Source organism: Homo sapiens, chromosome 2 (assembly GCF_000001405.40).
Source record: "Homo sapiens chromosome 2, GRCh38.p14 Primary Assembly".
Classification (NCBI taxonomy): domain Eukaryota; kingdom Metazoa; phylum Chordata; class Mammalia; order Primates; family Hominidae; genus Homo; species Homo sapiens.
This window is the reverse complement of record NC_000002.12, coordinates 27032888-27050347: the sequence shown is the minus strand read 5'-3', so window position 1 is coordinate 27050347 and position 17460 is coordinate 27032888. Positions and strand designations below refer to the sequence as shown.

General features: G+C 50.6%; 1 protein-coding gene and 1 long non-coding RNA gene across 8 annotated transcripts, besides 3 other annotated features; one reads left to right on the top strand and one right to left on the bottom strand.

Moving 5' to 3' along the window:
- Positions 84-665, top strand: AGBL5-AS1 (AGBL5 antisense RNA 1). Its single transcript, NR_046730.1, has 2 exons — positions 84-168; positions 344-665. It is a non-coding gene; the product is annotated as an AGBL5 antisense RNA 1 (long non-coding RNA).
- Positions 90-299: a silencer, noted in NCBI's record as "silent region_11279". NCBI's record gives its function as "represses an Ori minimal core promoter by ATAC-STARR-seq in GM12878 lymphoblastoid cells {active_cell/tissue: GM12878}" and the evidence as "EXISTENCE:reporter gene assay evidence [ECO:0000049][PMID:35858748]".
- Positions 8616-8665: an enhancer, noted in NCBI's record as "active region_15483". NCBI's record gives its function as "activates an Ori minimal core promoter by ATAC-STARR-seq in GM12878 lymphoblastoid cells {active_cell/tissue: GM12878}" and the evidence as "EXISTENCE:reporter gene assay evidence [ECO:0000049][PMID:35858748]".
- On the bottom strand, positions 8654-17383 carry TMEM214 (transmembrane protein 214). 7 transcript variants are annotated; one of them, XM_005264381.4, is made up of 18 exons: positions 17182-17383; positions 16082-16281; positions 15063-15213; positions 14620-14754; positions 14296-14378; positions 13756-13861; positions 13562-13643; positions 13170-13271; positions 12646-12787; positions 12456-12533; positions 12111-12316; positions 11816-11864; positions 11533-11646; positions 11184-11301; positions 10511-10607; positions 10150-10318; positions 9852-10003; positions 8654-9637 (listed from the first exon to the last, which is right to left on the bottom strand). In XM_005264381.4, the coding sequence occupies exons 1-18, from the start codon at positions 17330-17332 to the stop codon at positions 9511-9513; spliced, it is 2262 nt and encodes a 753-aa protein (XP_005264438.1). In that variant the 5' UTR covers positions 17333-17383; the 3' UTR covers positions 8654-9510. The 7 variants fall into 7 exon arrangements, with proteins under 7 accessions (XP_005264438.1, XP_005264439.1, NP_060197.4 ...); XM_005264382.4 differs by having other exon boundaries at positions 12111-12202; NM_017727.5 differs by lacking the exon at positions 12456-12533 and having other exon boundaries at positions 12111-12202.
- Positions 10339-11538: an enhancer, noted in NCBI's record as "CDK7 strongly-dependent group 2 enhancer chr2:27261678-27262877 (GRCh37/hg19 assembly coordinates)". NCBI's record gives its function as "activates an origin of replication core promoter dependent on BRD2, BRD4, P300/CBP, MED14 and CDK7 cofactors, with strong dependence on CDK7, by STARR-seq in HCT116 cells {active_cell/tissue: HCT116}" and the evidence as "EXISTENCE:reporter gene assay evidence [ECO:0000049][PMID:35650434]".

Genomic DNA, 17460 nt, shown 5'->3' with positions numbered 1-17460 from the left:
GTGCTCTCCTGACGCGAACGACATTCGCTCGGCCAATTAACTCAGGTTTTGTCAGGCTCTATTCGTCCTGACCAGTGCAAGAGAGACGGCGACCGCGGGGTGCTGCAGGCTTCGGCGCGGCGCATTATCGGGCTGTGCCGAACCCCCCGGGCCGCCCTGGGATCGCGGGCCTGGCGGCGTGGCCCGAGGGCTCGGGGAGAGGGCTACGCGCCAGGAGAGGGCGGCGGGGCTGCAGTACAGGCTTTCCTGCCCTCGGAAGCGCTCGCAAGCCTGGGGGATTCCCCTGCGGTAGACCTGGGATGGTGGGCGGCGCGCGGCCGGGTAGGTCCCTGCAGCCTCCGAGGCCCACGTGAGGTCGGGGTCGGGGCGGCTGTACAGTGCCCAGCACAGGCCACTGGCCTCCCTTGTGGGTCTTTGCACAGGTCCGCTTACTCTCGGAAATCTTGGGTTCCCCAGGGCCGGGGAAGGGTCTTCTGCCTGGTCTGGGGCCCCTCCCCCGACACTGTGGATGTCTAGGTGTCCCGGGTGGGGTCAAGGAGTGACCCCACGGGTTCCCCCATCTTTGTCCCTATCCAGCTCACACCTTCGCCTGTCTTTTGCATGTGTTTTTTCCACAACCTTTTGTTCACCGGGTTTTTAACAACAGAAATAAACCTAACCCCCAACTCCTCTGTGAAGCCCTGCTTGGTCGTCCTGTGGGGTGGGTGTGCCGGAAGACCTGGCCTCAATTTCCAGCTCTGGGCCAACGTCCTGTGCTACCTTGAGCCAACATCGCCCGCGAATCCAGGTCTGGTGATGCTTTCTAGCCCCTTGCAGCTCCAACATTTGATGGGTTCTCTCGGGCTGAGCTTTAAATCCGAAGTTTCTAGATATAAAGTTGTGTCAACATTTAGATAGAAGAATATAGAAGATCTGCATAGCTTTTATTATTCAATATCAAAAAATCACATTCATGGCCAGGCGTGGTGGCTCACACCTGTAATCCCAGCACTTTGGAAGGCCGAGGTGGGCGGATCCCCGGAGTTCAAGAGTTGCAGACCAGCCTGGCCAACATGGTGAAACCTGTCTCTACTAACATACAAAAATAATTAGCAGAGGATGGTGGCGCGCGCCTGTAATCCCAGCTACTCCGGAGGCTGAGGTGGGAGAATCGCTTGAACTCGAGAGGCGGAGGTTGCAGTAAACCGAGATCGCGCCACTCCAGCCTAGGCAACAAGAGCGAAACTCCGTCTCAAAAAAAAAAAAAAAAAAAAAAGCAGCCGGGAGTGGTAGTGAGCTCCTACCACTCCGGTAATCCCCAGCAACTCGGGAGCCTGAGGCAGGAGAATCGCTTGAACTTGGGAGGCGGATTGCAGTGAGCCTAGAGTGCGCCACTGCACAACAGCCTGGGAGACAGAGAGAGACTCTGTCTCAAAGAAAAGGCCACACGCGGTGGCTCACGCCTGTAATCCCAGCATTTCGGGAAGCCGAGGCGGGTGAATCACCTGAGTTCAGGAGTTCGACACCAGCCTGGACAACATGGAAACCCCTTCTCTACTAAAAATAAAAAATTAGCCGGACGTGGTGGCGCATGCCTGTAATCCTAGCTACTTGGGAGGCTGAGGCAGGAGAATCCCTTGAACCCAGGAGGCGGAGGTTGCAGTGAGCCGAGATCGTGCCACTGCACTCCACCGTGGGCGACAGAGCGAGACTCCGTCTCAACAAACGAACAAACAAACAAAAACCTCTCAACAGAAAGAAGTCCAGGATCAGAAGACTTCCATGTGAATGCTACCAAACATTTAAAGAATTAACACCAGTCCTTTTTTTTCTCTCAGATCACTAAATGAAGGTAACACCAATCCTTTCAAACTGTTCGAAAGAATAGAAAAGAAGGGAACACTTTTTAATTGATTATATGAGGCCAGCATCATTCTGATGGCACAGCCAGACCAAAAGACCACAAGAAGACTACAGATCAACATCCCTTATGAATATTGATGCAAAAATCCTCAACAAAATACGAGCAAACTGAATCCAATAGCATATTAAAAGGAGAAAACCATGACCAAGTTAGACTTATTGAAGGAATGTAAGGGTGTTCAACATAAGAAAAATAAATAAATGTAGGCCGGGCCTGGTGGCTTACGCCTGTAATCCCAGCACTTTGGGAGGCCCAGGTGGGCGGATCACCTGAGGCCAGGAGTTTGAGACCAGCCTGGCCAACACAGTGAAACCTCATCTCTACTAAAAATACAAAAATTAGCTGGGCATGGTGGTGCACGCCTGTAATCCCAGCTACTCGGGAGGCTGAGGCAGGAGAATCACTTGAACCCAGGAGGCAGGGGCTGCAGTGAGCCGGCCACTGCACTCCAGCTTGGGAGACAGAGGAAGACTCCATCTCAAAAAAAGAAAAAAAGAAAAATAAATCAATGTAATATACCACATTAATAAAATGAAGGAAAAAAACTACATTATCTCAATTGATACAGGAAAGGGTGACAGAATTCATCACCCTTTCATGAAAAGTAGAAACTCAGAAAACTAGAAATAGAAACGAACTTCCTCAGCATGATAAAGAACATTTATGAAAAACCCACAGCTAACATAAAACTCAACGGTGAAGGTCAGGAACAACCACTAAGGTCAGGAACAAGACAAAGATGCCTACTTTCACTGTTGCTACTCAACATTGTACTAGAATTTCTGGCCAGAACAACTAAACAAGAAAAAGAAATAAAAAGCATCCAACCTAGAAAAGAAGAAATAAAACTATCCCTATTTGCAGACTATATTGTCTTATATATAGAAAATACCAAAGAATCTACCAAAAAACTATTAGAAGAAAAAAAAACTATTAGAGAAAATTCAGCAAAGTTGCAGAGAACAAGATCAACATGCAAAAAAACAAATTGAGCTTCTTTACACCAATAATGAACAGTCTGAAAGAAAATTAAAAATGTAACTTCTGGGCGTGGTGGTACATGCCTGTAATCCCAGCACTTTGGGTGGCTGAGGTGGGAAGATGGCTTAAGCTCAAGAGTTCAAGACCACCCTGGGCAACATTGTGAAACCCCATTTCTTAAAAAAAATACAAAAATTAGCTGGGCATAGTGGCGTATGCCTGTAGTTCCAGCTACTCAGGAGGTTGAGGTGGGAGGATCACCTGAGTGCAGGGAGGTTGAGGCTGCAATGAGCTGTGATCAAGCCACTGCACTGCAGCCTTGGTAACAGAGTGAGACCCTGTCTCAAAAATAATAATAATAAAATAAGGCCGGGTGCGGTAACTCACATCTGTAATTCCAGCACTGTGGGAGGCCTAGGCGGGAGGATCACTTGAGGCCAGGAGTTTGAGATCAGCCTGGCCAACAGGGAGAAACCCTGGTCTCTACTAATAGGAAGTGGTGGCTTACATCTGTAATCCCAGCTACTCGGGAGACTGAGGCAGAATTGCCTGAACCCAGGAGGTGGAGGTTGCAGTGAGCTGAGATGGCGCCACTGTACTCCAGCCTGGGCAACTGAGTGAGACTCCGTCTCAAAACAATAAAAAGTAAAATTAAAAAGAAAATAAGAAAAATATTTACTACCTGGAAACTAAATCTTTCTCTTTGGTGGGAGGCATCGTAACTTAAAATATGTGTAGTAGGCTGGGCGTGGTGGCTCATGCCTGTAATCCCAGTACTTCGGGAGGCCAAGGCGGGCAGATCACGAGGTCAGGAGATCGAGACCATCTTGGCTAACACAGTGAAATCCTGTCTCTACCAAAAATACAAACAATTAGCCGGGCGTGGTGGCACATGCCTGTAGTCCCAGGTACTCGGGAGGCTGAGGCAGGAGAATTGCTTGAACCCGGGAGGCGGAAGTTGCAGTGAGCCAAGATCGCGCCACTGTACTCCAGCCTGGGTGACAGAGTGAGACTCCGTTTCCAAAAAAAAAAAAAAACAAATGTGTAGTAATTTCCATGGAGCTGTCTGGGACAGACTGGATATCTCCTGGCCTTCCAAGTGAGGTGAGCTGTTAATAATAGCACCCACTCATATATCTGAAGAGTATATCTATGGATGAAGTCTAGGGTATTTGGAAATATATAAACTATGAAAGGTGTAAATATGTTTTATTGTAGATAATGTATAAGATAGCTATTTAAAACAACTGTAAAAGCCACAGAGTGGGAGAAAATATTTCCAAAAGACATATCTAATAAAGGACTGTTATCCAAAATATACAAAGAACTCTTAAAACTCCACAATAAGGGCAGACACAGTGGTTCACACCTATAATCCCAGCACTTTGGGAGGCAGAGGCAGGAAAATCGCTTGAGGCTGAGAGTTTGAAACCAGCCTGGGTGACACAGCAATGTCTACAAAAAAATTTTTTTGAATTAGCCTGGCGTGGTGGTGTGTGCCTGTAGTCCTAGCTACTGGGGAAGCTGAGGTGGGAGGATTGAGGTTGCAGTGAGCTATAATTGCACCATTGCACTCCAGCCTGCGTGACAGAGCAAGACCCTGTTTCTTAAAACCAAAACAAACAAAACAAAACAAAAAACCCTCAGCAATAAGAAAATGAACAACCCAATTAGAAAATGGAGAAAAGATCTGGACACCTCACCAAAGAAGATATACAAATGGCAAATAAGCATATGAAAAGATGCTCAGTTTCACTAGGGAATTGCAAATTAAATATCTTCATCCACCTATGAGAATGGTGAAAATCCAAAATACTGACAAAACCAAATGAAGATGCATAGTAATAGGAACTCTAATTCACTACTGATGAGAATGCAAAATGGTACAGCCACTTTGGAAGACAGCTTGATGTTTTTTACAAAACTAAACATACTCTTATCATATGATCAATTGTGCTCCTTGGTATTTAACTAAACGTGTTTGAAAACTTATGCCCACACAAAAACCTAAACTCAGAGGTTTATAGCAGCTTTACTCATAATTGGGAAACTTGGAAGCAACCAAGATGTCCTTCAGTAGATGAATGGATACACTGTCGTACATCCAGACAATGGGATATTATACAGTGCTAAGAAGAAATGAGCTATCTCGCCATGAAAAGACATGGAAGAATCTTAAAGACAAATTACCAAATGGCCGGGTGTGGTGGCTCATGCCTGTAATCCCAGCACTTTGGGAGGCCGAGACAGGTGGATCACTTGAGTACAGGAGTTTGAGACCAGCCTGGCCAGCATGGTGACACCCTGTCTCTAGCAAAAATACAAAAATTAGCCAGGGGTGGTGGCACGCACCTGTACTCTCAGCTACTTGGGAGGTTGAGGCAGGAGAATCGCTTGAAACCAGGAGGCAGAGGTTGCAGTGAGTCGAGATTGCACCACTGCACTCCAGCCTGGGTGACAGCGTAAGACCCTGTCTCAAAAAAAAAAAAAAAAAAAAAAATTACCAAATGAAAGAAGCCAATCTGAAAAGGCCACATAGTATGATTTTGACTATATGGCATTCTGGAAAAGACAAAACTGGAGAGAGTAAAAGATCAGTGGTTCCTTCGGCTCTGGGGGAAGAAGGGAGGGAGGAATAGGTAGAGCACAGGAGATTTTCATGGCAGTGAAACTCTTCTATATAATGGTGTATACATGCTATTGGACAGTTATCAAAACCTACAGAGTGTACAACGCAGATAGCGAACCCTAATGTAAGCTATGGACTTACATTATGGACGATGTGTCAATGTAGGTTCATTGATTACAACAAATGTACCACAGCAGTATGGGATGTTGATGGTGGGGGAGGCTGTGGTGGGGGCGGGTTGGGGAGGAAATATATGGAAACTCTCACTCAATTTTGATGTGAACCTAAAACTGCTCTAAAAAATAGTCTATTCAGGCCAGGCATGGTGGCTCATGCCTGTAATCCCAGCACTTTGGGAGGGCAAGGCGGGTGGATCACCTGAGGTCAGGAGTTTGAGACCAGCCTAGCCAACATGGTGAAACCCCCTCTCCACTAAAAATACAAAAGATTAGCTTGGCGTGGTGGCGGGCACCTGTGGTCCCAGCTACTTGGGAGGCTGAGGCAGGAGAATCACTTGAACCTGGGAAGCGGAGGTTGCAGTGAGCCGAGATCACGCCATTGTACTCCAGCCTGGGGAACAAGAGCAAAACTCTGTCTCAAACAAACAAAAAAAAGTCTATTCAAAAATTAGTAAGTGATGTGCTAACACAAAAAGAAGTTATATCAAGGCACATCCAACAACACATTCAAAGTCAACATTTGTATTAATAGGCAGAATAGTCAATATTTACTAAATATTCACTCATACCCTGAACAGTGGACACTCCCTCCAAAATCCTTCTTATACCTCAAGTAGAGCACCAAAACTGCCCAGTATAAAGGGAATACACATAGGGAAAAGCAAGGCCCTTTCTCCCCTCAACAACTGTGAAGGGTATGTAGTAAAAACAGATCACTCTAAGTGTCCACTTAAATTTAAACTCCTTTAGGTGAGGTAAGACAACAAAATGCTCAGAGGTCATTGAACCACTGAAATGTCTGTATAGGGCCGGGCACGGCGGCTCATGCCTGTAATATCCCAACACTTTGGGAAGCCAAGGTGGAGGATCACTAGAGACCTGGAGTTTACTGATTATATGAATCAATGAACCTATAATCAATGGGACCAGCCTAGGCAACATAGTGAGGAGCCATCTCTACAAAAAATTTTTAAAAAAGGAGGCGGGCATGGCACGCATCTGTAGGCCCAAATACTCGGGAGGCTGTGGTGTGAGGATCATTGAGCCCAGGATTTTGAGGCTGCGGTGAGCTATGATCACGAACCACTTCACTCCAGCCTGGGCAACAGGGCAAGACCCCGTTTCTTTAAAACAAAAAACAAATGCCTGTGTAATTGACACTGGGTCATTCTGTAACAGGGCAGGGCAGGTGTGCCTGGCTCTGTGGGAAACAACCCGCCCTCTTTATGGTGGTGGCATTTTGTGAATGGACTGACAATGTAGCAGGCATGAGCTCAGCAACACTATCTGCCTAGTGACATCCATCGTAGTAAGTCAGGCTACCCATCAAGCTGCCCTGCTCTAGAACTGAAGTGTGGATTGGATACAAATAACCAGAGAAATCCAGAAATCTGCTGGAGACTTAGGAAAACGAAAGGATGTTTCAAAGTGAGTCATGCATATTATTTTCAAGTCCACAAAAGAACTGGTAATAAAGTTAGTAAGAAATAAACATACTCATAACTGCCCTTCAGCTTTATGGTGTGTTATCGGTTGAACTTCAGCTGTGTGGAGTTACTGTCCAGATGTGTGACTCTCTGAGGTGTCAGCTCCTTTTGGTTCTTCCAATAACAGCAATAGTTACAGTGTGACTGCCCCACCTGTCAGCATCACTGTCCTATGCTGGTTCAATTTACTGGCCCCGCTTGGACTCCTGTTTGTTGACAGCTCTGCAAAAATGAAATGTCTGGACATCTGGTTTTGCTTTAATGCAGAGCAGGTGCGTATTGGACTAGTCCACCACACAGGAAAAATTTCCGACAATTTCAACATTGGGTCAAAAAACTGTATCTATCGAATAAAGTCAATTAAGCTGTCAGTGTTCCTGTAAGTAGAGACCACAATTAATCTAAGTTGATGAAAAATGTTGCTCCCCAGGATTTTAGTGTCAGAAGTTAAATGAACCCAGCAAGGTAAATATAGTCACACATTAGAAGCCAACACAGCACTTGTGGCATCCTTGGTTCGCTGGATGCAGCCTTGGACTTCTACAACAGTTATCACCGAACTTGTCCTCCCTGTGCCATTGTCAACCCATTCTCACAACTGCCACCTTTCTCCAACTCACCTTGAACACAGGCCAGTTCTCCTGCCCAGCAGTCCTAAGACTTTGGCCCTTTGCCAGGTAGTTTCTCTTCTCCAGGAAGATGGTCATGGTTAATTGCCACTAGGAGAGCAAGGGGTCTGCTTGTGGGCTAATTCCAGAGGAAACGTAGCGAACACGAGATGCTGTTGTATTCATGACCTCACTTTGGGTCGATACTTTCCTACATCTGCTACTTTATATTCGAACCACTGAAAAAGCGGAGTGTCTCAGGGCACCGTGTGAGAGGGGAAGTGATAACTGGCCATCATACCTGCTGAGTGTCATGGGAGTTTATGAGGGAAGCTGAATCTGCCTTTGAGAACTGCTAGAGCGTATCTCTAGTACTGCTGACTTGAAACATTTAAGGAAACAAAATTGAGAACTAAGAAACCAGCAGAGTTATCTAACTCCTTATAGTCTCAAGTCAAAAATAAAAAGGGGCTTCGGTGATAAACCTTGGACTCATGTGTCCCTTGGAGTTCTAAATCTTTCACTCACTGCTCTATAAAATGAAGGTCCTGGCAAGGAAAGGACACCTCCTGGTCACTGGCCAAGAATTCCCCTAGGAGACGGCCCCCTGCTTTTCTAAGCGTAAAACTATCAAGGCAAATCTGGGACGTGAATCACAGTGACAAGTCAGACACTATAATTAGGGTAGCAAGAGAAGTGTCTAGAACACCCACCAGGTCAAACTTTAGAACCATGTGTGTGGGCTTCCCCCACCAGGAGCTTAATTACAGCCACGGCTACAGTCTTCAGGAGGGCAAGGGCCCAGGATTTTGTTATTCTGAACCATAACTAGGGGAATTTCTATATGAGGATGCAGACAAGAATGCTAGAAATCAAATCTGTGTCCTTTATTCCACCTGGTAGGGCATACCCAAGAACCATATACTGAGTCCTGTCTCAGGTTGATGGAGGGTTCCCTGGGCCCAAGGCACACAACTGCCTGTGCTCTGCTCTACAGATGATAGGAGGGATGGACAGTGGAGAGAAGCTGAGCCTTGTGACCAAGACCCCCAGCATGATGGGGAATGGAAAGTTGGAAGAAGTAGGACTACAAGGGAGGGGACAGGGAGGGGCTTAGAGGCATTTGGGGCAGGCTGGGCATTTTGAAGTGAGAGGCATTTCCATCCAGCTCCCCATGTCCACTGACAGCCACACCCAGGCTTCAGGTGGAGGTGAGGCTGCTGTTTCCCAATGCGGTGCTATATTCTTCTGGAAGCCCCTTTCCTTCTGCTGTGGCTAGAGCTGTGACCAAGAATGGGAACAGGAGGCTGCTAAAGTCTGGAGAAGCAGGAATCATTTGTCAGAAGAACACAGAAGCCACCTGCTGGGAGTTCTATCTTTTTAGAGATGAGCTGTTTGGGGTTTAGAAATGAGATGGAAGGAAGTGGAAGGCAGAGGGCAAGGGCGGAGTTGTGAGAGGCTACCAGCACAAGGATGGAGGCTGGGGGCCATGTGCAGTAGGGCCAGAAAAGTGTTCAGTGGAATTGTGGGTAGGAGGCTGAGATGCTGCTGGGCCCTGTCCCCACCAAAGATGGAAGAACTGAGGTGGAGGCAACTGGCCACTTGCCTAGGAGAGAACTCAGGCACCAAGTTAAAAAGACTCCCATGAAGAACTGCCACCTTCTACCCGCTGCAGTCTTGGATGGTCTACCCATGCAGAAATCAGTGGCCAGGAAGGCAGGGCCTACTGCTGGGATATCAGGGCAAGTGCCCAGTCCAAGAAAGCCACTGTAATGTCCTGTAGGCAAAGCCAGGTCCAGTGGACAGCCTCACTGAGCTGTGTCTTCATGCAGTCCCAGGTCACCTCACCTCTGGAAGGAAAGTGGAACATTTTTGAGTATGCACGTGAGTAGCTGTGTCAACTTTCGGGGATGAAAGCTTAGACCCACAACCCTCATCCCAGGGTGGCCAGGAATGGGAGCGAGGGGCAGGACAGTGTGGGAGACTGGATAGAGATGGCTTGTCCCTGGGGCCCGGGAATGGGGCTGCTGGGGATCCTGCCGGAGCCCTGGGCAAAGGTCTCACCTGCATGCCTCATGGCAGTGCTCCTGGGCCCAGGCCAGGGCCTCAAGCAAGAGGTGCCACAGTGGCAGCAGCACATTCTGGTGGAAAAGCAGGGGCAGCTCTCTCAGATAGCGGAGTAGCTGATTCACGGAATCGGGGAGCTGGATCTGTAGCTGGACCATGGAGAATGGATGGGGTCAGAGTATCCAGGGAACTGCATCCTGGCCCTAAAGACTCAGGCCACACAGTGCTGCTCCTTTCCCAGAATTCTGCTCCTGGGAAAACCAGCCCCTTATTTGACTCCCTGTCTCTGACTTACCCTCTGAGAGAGACTGGTGAGACTGTCACCAAACCACGCAAGGTGAGAGGCACAGTGGGCAGAAAGGAAGCTGACTGTGGCATTGGTGTGAGCCCAGGCCAGCTGCAAGCTGGGCCGCACCACGGTGAGCAGGTGGGAGCCCCAGAGCGGCAGTGTCTCCCCCAGCCAGCTGTGGAAGATGGAAGTGGGGGAAGAGGGCTCTGAGTCTCCTCAGGCCCACTTAGCTCCCAAGAAACAGCTGGGGAAAGGGAGGCCGTGGGAAAGGAGAATCACAAGCGCTTCCCACTGACTGTCGCCTCCTCCCTGACACCCAGGCCTTCTCTCTTCTGCCTCTCCTCTCCCCTCCCTGGGAGGAGCTCACCTGTAGCCTTGCAGACTGTAGGAGTAGAGCTTGGCACACGCTTGTTGGCTAGCAGGTAAGAAGCCAGATGATCGAAGCAACCGGCCAGTAAGGGAGGCTAAGTAAAGGGGGCCTCTGGTGAGCTGGGAGGTGAGAGGGGCAGGGACTGGGGAGACAGACACTACAGGGCCCAGAGCAGGCACAGCGAGGCGCTGGGCAGAGCTTTGTGTTCTCACAGGGCCACAAAGCCAGCTCCAGGCTGCTGTGGAGGGAGGCATGCAGAGCTGCCCTTCTCCTGCTGGGCCAGGTGTGCAGGAATGCAGCTGCCGGTTGGAGCCTAGGCTCAGGCTTCAGGAAGCCTCAGGTTGAGGGTCTGCCCTTCTACTTACTAGCTATGACCTAAAGCTAATTGCTACATCTTTCTGAGACCATTTCCTCAGGAGTTAAAAGGAGGTAACACCTACTAAAATGATACTATGAATATGCAAGCACTTCTATACTGCGAAGTCCTAGTCCAATCTGAAATGGTAGTGTCATATCTGTGGACAAAAAAATCTGTCTGTAAAGTGTTTACTCTGCAGGATTGAGAACTCGTCAGGACAAAGATGTGTGCTGCTGGGGGCGGGGTGGTGGTGCTACGTGTAGCTCTGTGCCCCGCCCACACCATCCTCCTCGCTTGCCCATTGCTGCTTACCCTGGAAGGAGCTGTGTGACCGGAGGTCATGGCACAGGAAGCCTACAGCGAAGACCAGCAGCAACAGGAGGAGCCGCGTCCAGGGCAGCCGAGGACCCTGAACCTGCTGCAACAGGCCCTGGTGGGAGGGGAGCAGGAGACAGTTGTCAGAAGCGAGGGGCTGGTCTTTGCCTCTGAGGGCAGACCTCAAGCCAGGCCTTCCCGAAAGAGCGTCAAGCCTTCACATTATCCTGGAGGCAGCGGGGGGCTCCAGACAGGTGGGGCAGGAATGTGATACAGGCCCAACCCAGGTGTGCTGAGACAGAGATGTAAGATAGCGTGTGGGCTGGAGAGGACCGGGTGCCAGCACCTTGCAGGCCATGTCACAGGTGACGACATCCTGGTTGTTACTGCTACCCTTCCTCAGCAGCTCCTGGTTGGTAAGCTTGAGGGACTGAATGGTTTCTTGCAAAGACTTCTGTACCTATGGACAAGAAAGGTCTGGCCTGTGAGGGAATCCAGAGCTTCCATCCTGCTTCATTTTCCATGCCAACAGGGTCCCTTCTCAGGGAAGGGACAGTGGCTGAGGAGCCCCCACTCAGAACCTAGAATCCAGACAGGGCTCAACCTGCCACGTCCTCCCAGCTCCTCACCTTCTTGGGAATCTGCTCCCAGGAGCTGAGCAAGTGCTCCAGCAGAAGGCTGTGGGGAAAGCACAACCCCCTAGTCAGGTGGCTCGCGCAGCCTCACCCATCCTCCTGTCCTCCATTAGCCCTGGCTCCTTCAGGCTGAAAGACCCTCCACCTACCACCCACAGAGCAGCAGCTTCCTAGAGGCTGCTCCAGCAATGTTCCCACTCAGCCTGAAAGGTGTCAGGCCATGGGACAGTGACCCAGGCTCCCCTTCTGCTTCTAGCACAGGGACAGGCTGGCCTCCCACCCCACCTGCCTGGACTGTGACAGGTGCTTAGGGTACAGCTGCCTCCAGACGCTGGCACTGAGGGGGTCCACCGTCAGGCACTCAGTCAGGCTGCTCAGGAGCTGCACAGCACGACAGAGGGAGAGGCTGCTGGGGGCATGGGGCTGGCAGAGGCGGGGAGTGCTAAGAGGTGATCCCCTTCCCGTAAGCAAGGCCATCCAGGCCGCACATCCACCCTAAGGGGTGGAGAAACAGTGTCAAGACTCCAGAAAGCTCTCTGAGAGGCTGTAAAGCAGGAGGCTGGGGCTCCTGAGCTAGAGCTTTGAGCTCAAAGATCACTATCTGCAAGAGACGGGCATCAGAAACCACCCAGACCTGAATGTGCTGTCTCTTGGGATCCATCTTCTGAGGGTGAAGCTCGAGTGAGCGGGGCAGGCAGCTGTCAACAGGGAGCTAAGGAAAAGCCTCAGAATGGGCTCTGTGAAGGCAAGGCCTTTGTCAGCAGATAGGGACCGCTACAGCTGACCCCTGGGGAAGGAGAAAAAGCCTCCCACCATATCCTCACCTCTTTCTTCATCTCAGGGGGACAGCTAGGGGTGGCTCTGGACAGGAAAGAAGGGAAGTAGGTATGCAGGGTGGAATCCGGCTTTGCTCCAAATGCCAGCACTTTCAGTCGGGGGTAGAGCTGACACAGCTGCTCCTGCAGGCTGGGTGGGGTGGGGAGGAAAGACAGGCATAAGCTATAAGTGGAGCTGTATGATATGAACCTTTTGCTTGCTTCAGAGCCCATGCCTGCCTGTGGGGAATAGCCACTGAGGACCTTGCAATGGCTCTGAATCTTTTTACTCAGAGACTCCTTGGAAATCTGTTGAAAGCCATGGACCCTATCCCTAAGAAAATGCCCATATGCCAATCACACTCAAGGGTCCATATAATTTCAAGGGGTCACTGTTCCCTTGAAACCTACTCTTGAACTTCCAGGTTGCAAATCTCAGATCTAGGATGGCTGGGGAAGGAGAGACGGGAATATGTAGTGTGGTTCTGGTGCTGTGGTCCCTTCTCAGCAGGTGTGCCCCAGAGCAGTCCTACCTGGGTGTCAGGGAGTTGTTCGGCATATAGGCAAAGTCCAGAAGTGGGAAGAAGTCCTTGGGGCCAATCATGCCGAAGCCCTTGGTAAGGTTGGGATGCATCCTGTGGGGATGAAGAAACAGGCTCGCTGGACACCACCACCCATGCCAGCTGTTTTGGCCATGACCCCAGCTAAGCCAACATCTAGGAAAAAGGGTATAAACTCTACCCCATCTGCCAGCCCTTAATAGCTCCCTCTTCTTCCTTCCTCACCATCACATTCTAAGGTGGTGGGAGAAGCTGGTCCTGATTTTCCTCATATCCATGGAGACCAAGATCATAGCCTCCCATTTTGCTATAACAGCCACTTGGGACACCCTGAGCCTTCCCCTTGCTGCCCTCCCATTACTCACAGGAGCAGCCGATCCAGGTATGTGATGGCAAAGGGAGACAGAGACTTGATGCCCAGCACAGGCAGCATGATCCCCAGCCACACTGCAGGGGTAAAAGTCACGAGGGAGGCCTCAGGCTTGCACCTACTGGGGGCATCAAAGAGGAGTTTTCCAGCTCCGAGACCCTCCCTCTTTCTTCCCTATTTCCCTGTTACCTTTCAGTCCCTCGGTGAGGTTGGCAAAACCTGCTTGACCCAGGGCCCACATGATGGTGAGACACTTTGCTGGTCGGCTCTGGTGGGACCTCAGCAGTTCCAGGAACTGAGGAGACCGGTGGGGAAGGCAGATTGGGATAGGACAAAACACCAGGAGCACCCCCCAAAGCCAGGAGGGAAGGGAGATGTCAACTGGAAGAGGGAGGACAGGCCGAGCAAGAGTGGAGCACTATGGCCACGTGGTGCAGGTTCTGTTTGTGGGCTTCGCCCATACTCTGCCATTTACTGGATGACTGAGCCTAGGAAAGTTACTGAACTCCTCTGTGGCTCAATCTTTTCATCTATAAAAATGGGAAATAATAGCAGTACCTTGCTCCTATGTTTCCAGAGCACACACACAGGATAGGTGCTAATAGTGTTACCCATTATTACTAGGCTTACAGGTCTTCCACTATCCCAAACCTGAGTCCAACAACATAGATTCTGCCCAGCCTCCCCAGTCCTAGCTTCCTAGCATCCCCACCATCACTGAGAGCTCACCTTGCCTAGGTTTGCCGTGGCAATCTTGGGCTTGTCTTGCAGGATGGCCTGGATACAGATGCGGTAACCATGTAGTGACTCCCCTGGAGAGATACACATTCTCACACCTACTCACATTATTTGGCATCCCAAACCTGAAATCTCCCATTTGTCAGCGGTGAGCCCAGGCCCCAGGTCCACTGACTCCTAACTTCCTCCACACTTTCCAAAAAGTGTTAAGGTTAGCACATTTCTCTGCTGGAAACAGAACCACTGAGTGGTACTGGAAGCAGGAAAAAAAGGAGGAGGCTCCCAAGATGGTCATCCCTCCCGTGCCCCTTTCACCTGGTGTCTTATCCAGCTCTTGCAACATGGTGAACAGACAGTGGTCAAAAAAGAGCTCCAGAGACCCTGCTGCCTTCGCCAGCAGCCCTCGGATGATCCCACGTAGCTCCCGGCTCACCAGGCTGTAGGGATAATCTAAGGCCCATAGGCCTCAATGTGAGTGCTAGGACCAGACACCCATCAGCTCTGAGAACTGTGGTGCTCTCCCTGGGAATGGTGAGTGGAGGCAAAGGCCCCTGCACTGAGGCTGGGATCCTTCCTCTGAGGAGGCCCAGAGGGAGGATCACAGAATGAGGCCCAGAAACATTCACAGTCACGATGATTTGAGACCAGCCCAAATCACCCATGGAAATCAGGACAGTGTGGGGCACTGGGATCTGTTATACCACCCTTTTTGAATTTATTTGAACTTGTCTGAGCTTGAGGAAGCTGGAAGGACTTACCATGAGTATGCTGGCTCAGCGTGGGTTCACTTAGAGGAGCTTGTAGCTTGTAGTTGAGATAGCTGGCCAGGTCCTTCAACCATATGGATGGGTTTCCAGAGAACACACTCTGGCTCTTGTCCAGTTCCTTCTGCAGGTCTGCCACATCCAGCTGCCAGGGACAATCCCCCAACCCCCCACCATGGCGAGTTGTGAGTGAGGGAGTAAAGAAATGGGGTAGGGGTGGGAAAATGGTTGAACTAGGTGGCAGTAGGAAGAAGGGATTCCATTTTTAAGCATAAGAACATGGAATGCTGCAATTCTGCTGTACCTACATCTTTAAGAATGGAACAGGACAGCTGAAAATGCTGATCTCAGGCCCTATCCTCTCAGGCCCTCCACATGTTCAAGAGGAAAACAGAGGGCCAGGCGCGGTGGCTCACGCCTGTAATCCCAGCACTTTGGGAGGCCAAGGTGGGCGGATCACCTGAGGTCAGGAGTTCAAGACCAGCCTGGCCAACGTAGTGAAACCCCATCTCTACTAAAAATACAAAAATTAGCCAGGCGTGGTGGCAGACGCCTGTAATCCCAGCTGCTTGGGAGGCTGAGGCAGGAGACAGAGGTTGCAGTGAGCTGAGATCACACCACTGCACACCAGCCTGGGCGACAGAGGGAGACTCTAACTCAAAAAAAAAAAAAAAAAAAGAGGAAAACAGAGGACAAGACAGAAAATGAAAGATCAGTATTTCCATAGGACAGAGAATCATAACCAGTTTCTCCATCTCCTCCCTGGTGTTCCTGGGTCTTCAAGGCTTTCCTCTTACCAATCCATGTTTCCCTATAAATTTTCCATTTCCTTTCTATTCTAAGTGCAGGCATTCTGTTCCCCTGGGGTTTCCATCTTTTCCTGAACTCCTCTCAACCCTTAAAGTGTTTCAAATCCCATAGGATCTCAGCTGCCCATCCACCTCCCCCTCCTCTCATCTTCTCTAAATCTCAAGCCCCCATTCTTTCTGCGTCTCATGTCTAGGCACACTCACAGCTTTCAGTGCTTCCTCCAGGCTGCGGAAGCGGCCCTGCTTCTGGTTTTGGTTGGGAGGAGTTGCCACCTTCTTTGGCTGCTTCTTGTTCCCTGGTTTCTTAGGTTCCACAGCAGGGGGTGGGACCTGCTCCTTATTCTGCCGCTTCATGATATTCTCAAAGCCCCGCTCATAAAGGGTGCTTGTGGTCTGGATTGCAGCTGGGGTGAAGATAGGTAGAGAAAGGCAGGCCACCCTTGAGTCCCCAAGGCCTCACCTATCAGTGGTCCCTTTCCCCACACTGCCACCTAATTCATCTCCAGGGAAGAGCCTGTCTCAAAGCCCCTTCCTCTTGGACTGCTTAAGGAGCAGGGCAGGCTGTTCTCCTGGTAGCTTCTTTCATTACAGCTCTTGAGTCTATGGGCTCTTTCATAAAGATGGGGCAGTTCTTCATTAGACAAATCAGAGTATGTAGGAACAAGCAGAGAGGTTGGATATAGAGGTTTGCCTTATTCAGTGAGTGGCTACTAGTCTGGGAAGACAAGCTTTTTCCATCTTGGTCCTACCCTAACGCCTCTTGGTTCCGACATGACAACTCTATAATCAACAAGTGGCAATCTTTCTCCACTCCTCAGTGGAAGAACCAGGTGTCACTTATAATTCCTGGTGAGTGTTGAGTGTGTGGCGGTCATTTCTCCCACTGCTGGGCCTCCTGTCCCTTCCTCCATGACCTGCTGGTTACTTAAAGAGGGGGCACCGTGTATAATGATCCACAGTACCTCTTCAAAGCTCAGACACCTGCCCAGAGAGACCAGCTAGGGCCCTGGGCAGCTGGGAGAGTGTGTGCAGTGAACTGAGAGTCTGAGGACCGGAATCCTAGCCCCTCTGACACATGACCCTGGCCAAGGTATCCAACTTCACTGGGCCTCAGTTTACTCATCTGGGAGGTGAGGACCGCAACCTTCCCTGGAGCTGTCTGCCTCCCGTGAGGCTCCAAAGAGACAACGCAAGCGTGGCGCTCGGGGATGTGCCTGCGAGCTCGCGCCCAGGTTCTGGGAGCCGCTCGCTGCGACCCTGCCGGACAGGCCTGGGGTAGGCGGCGGGGCAGGGCGGGTACTCACGGGTCAGGTCGTATTTCCACACTCCGTTTGCTTCCCCGAGCGCCCTGCGGTTCCTGCCGCCTCCTCGGCCGCCGGCGCCGGCGCCGACCCCAGGCCGCCGACCCTTCTTCACTACCTCCCACCGCCCCACGCCCGCCGTCTTGGTCGCCATGGCTCGCAGCCCTCCCTCCTCGGCCACTTCCCCGGCTTTCCGGTCCGGCGCGAGCGCGCCGCACTCTGCCACGTCTCCTCGCAGGACCGCGCGCCCGGCGCCCGGCGCCCGCCGCAAGGCAGCCTGGG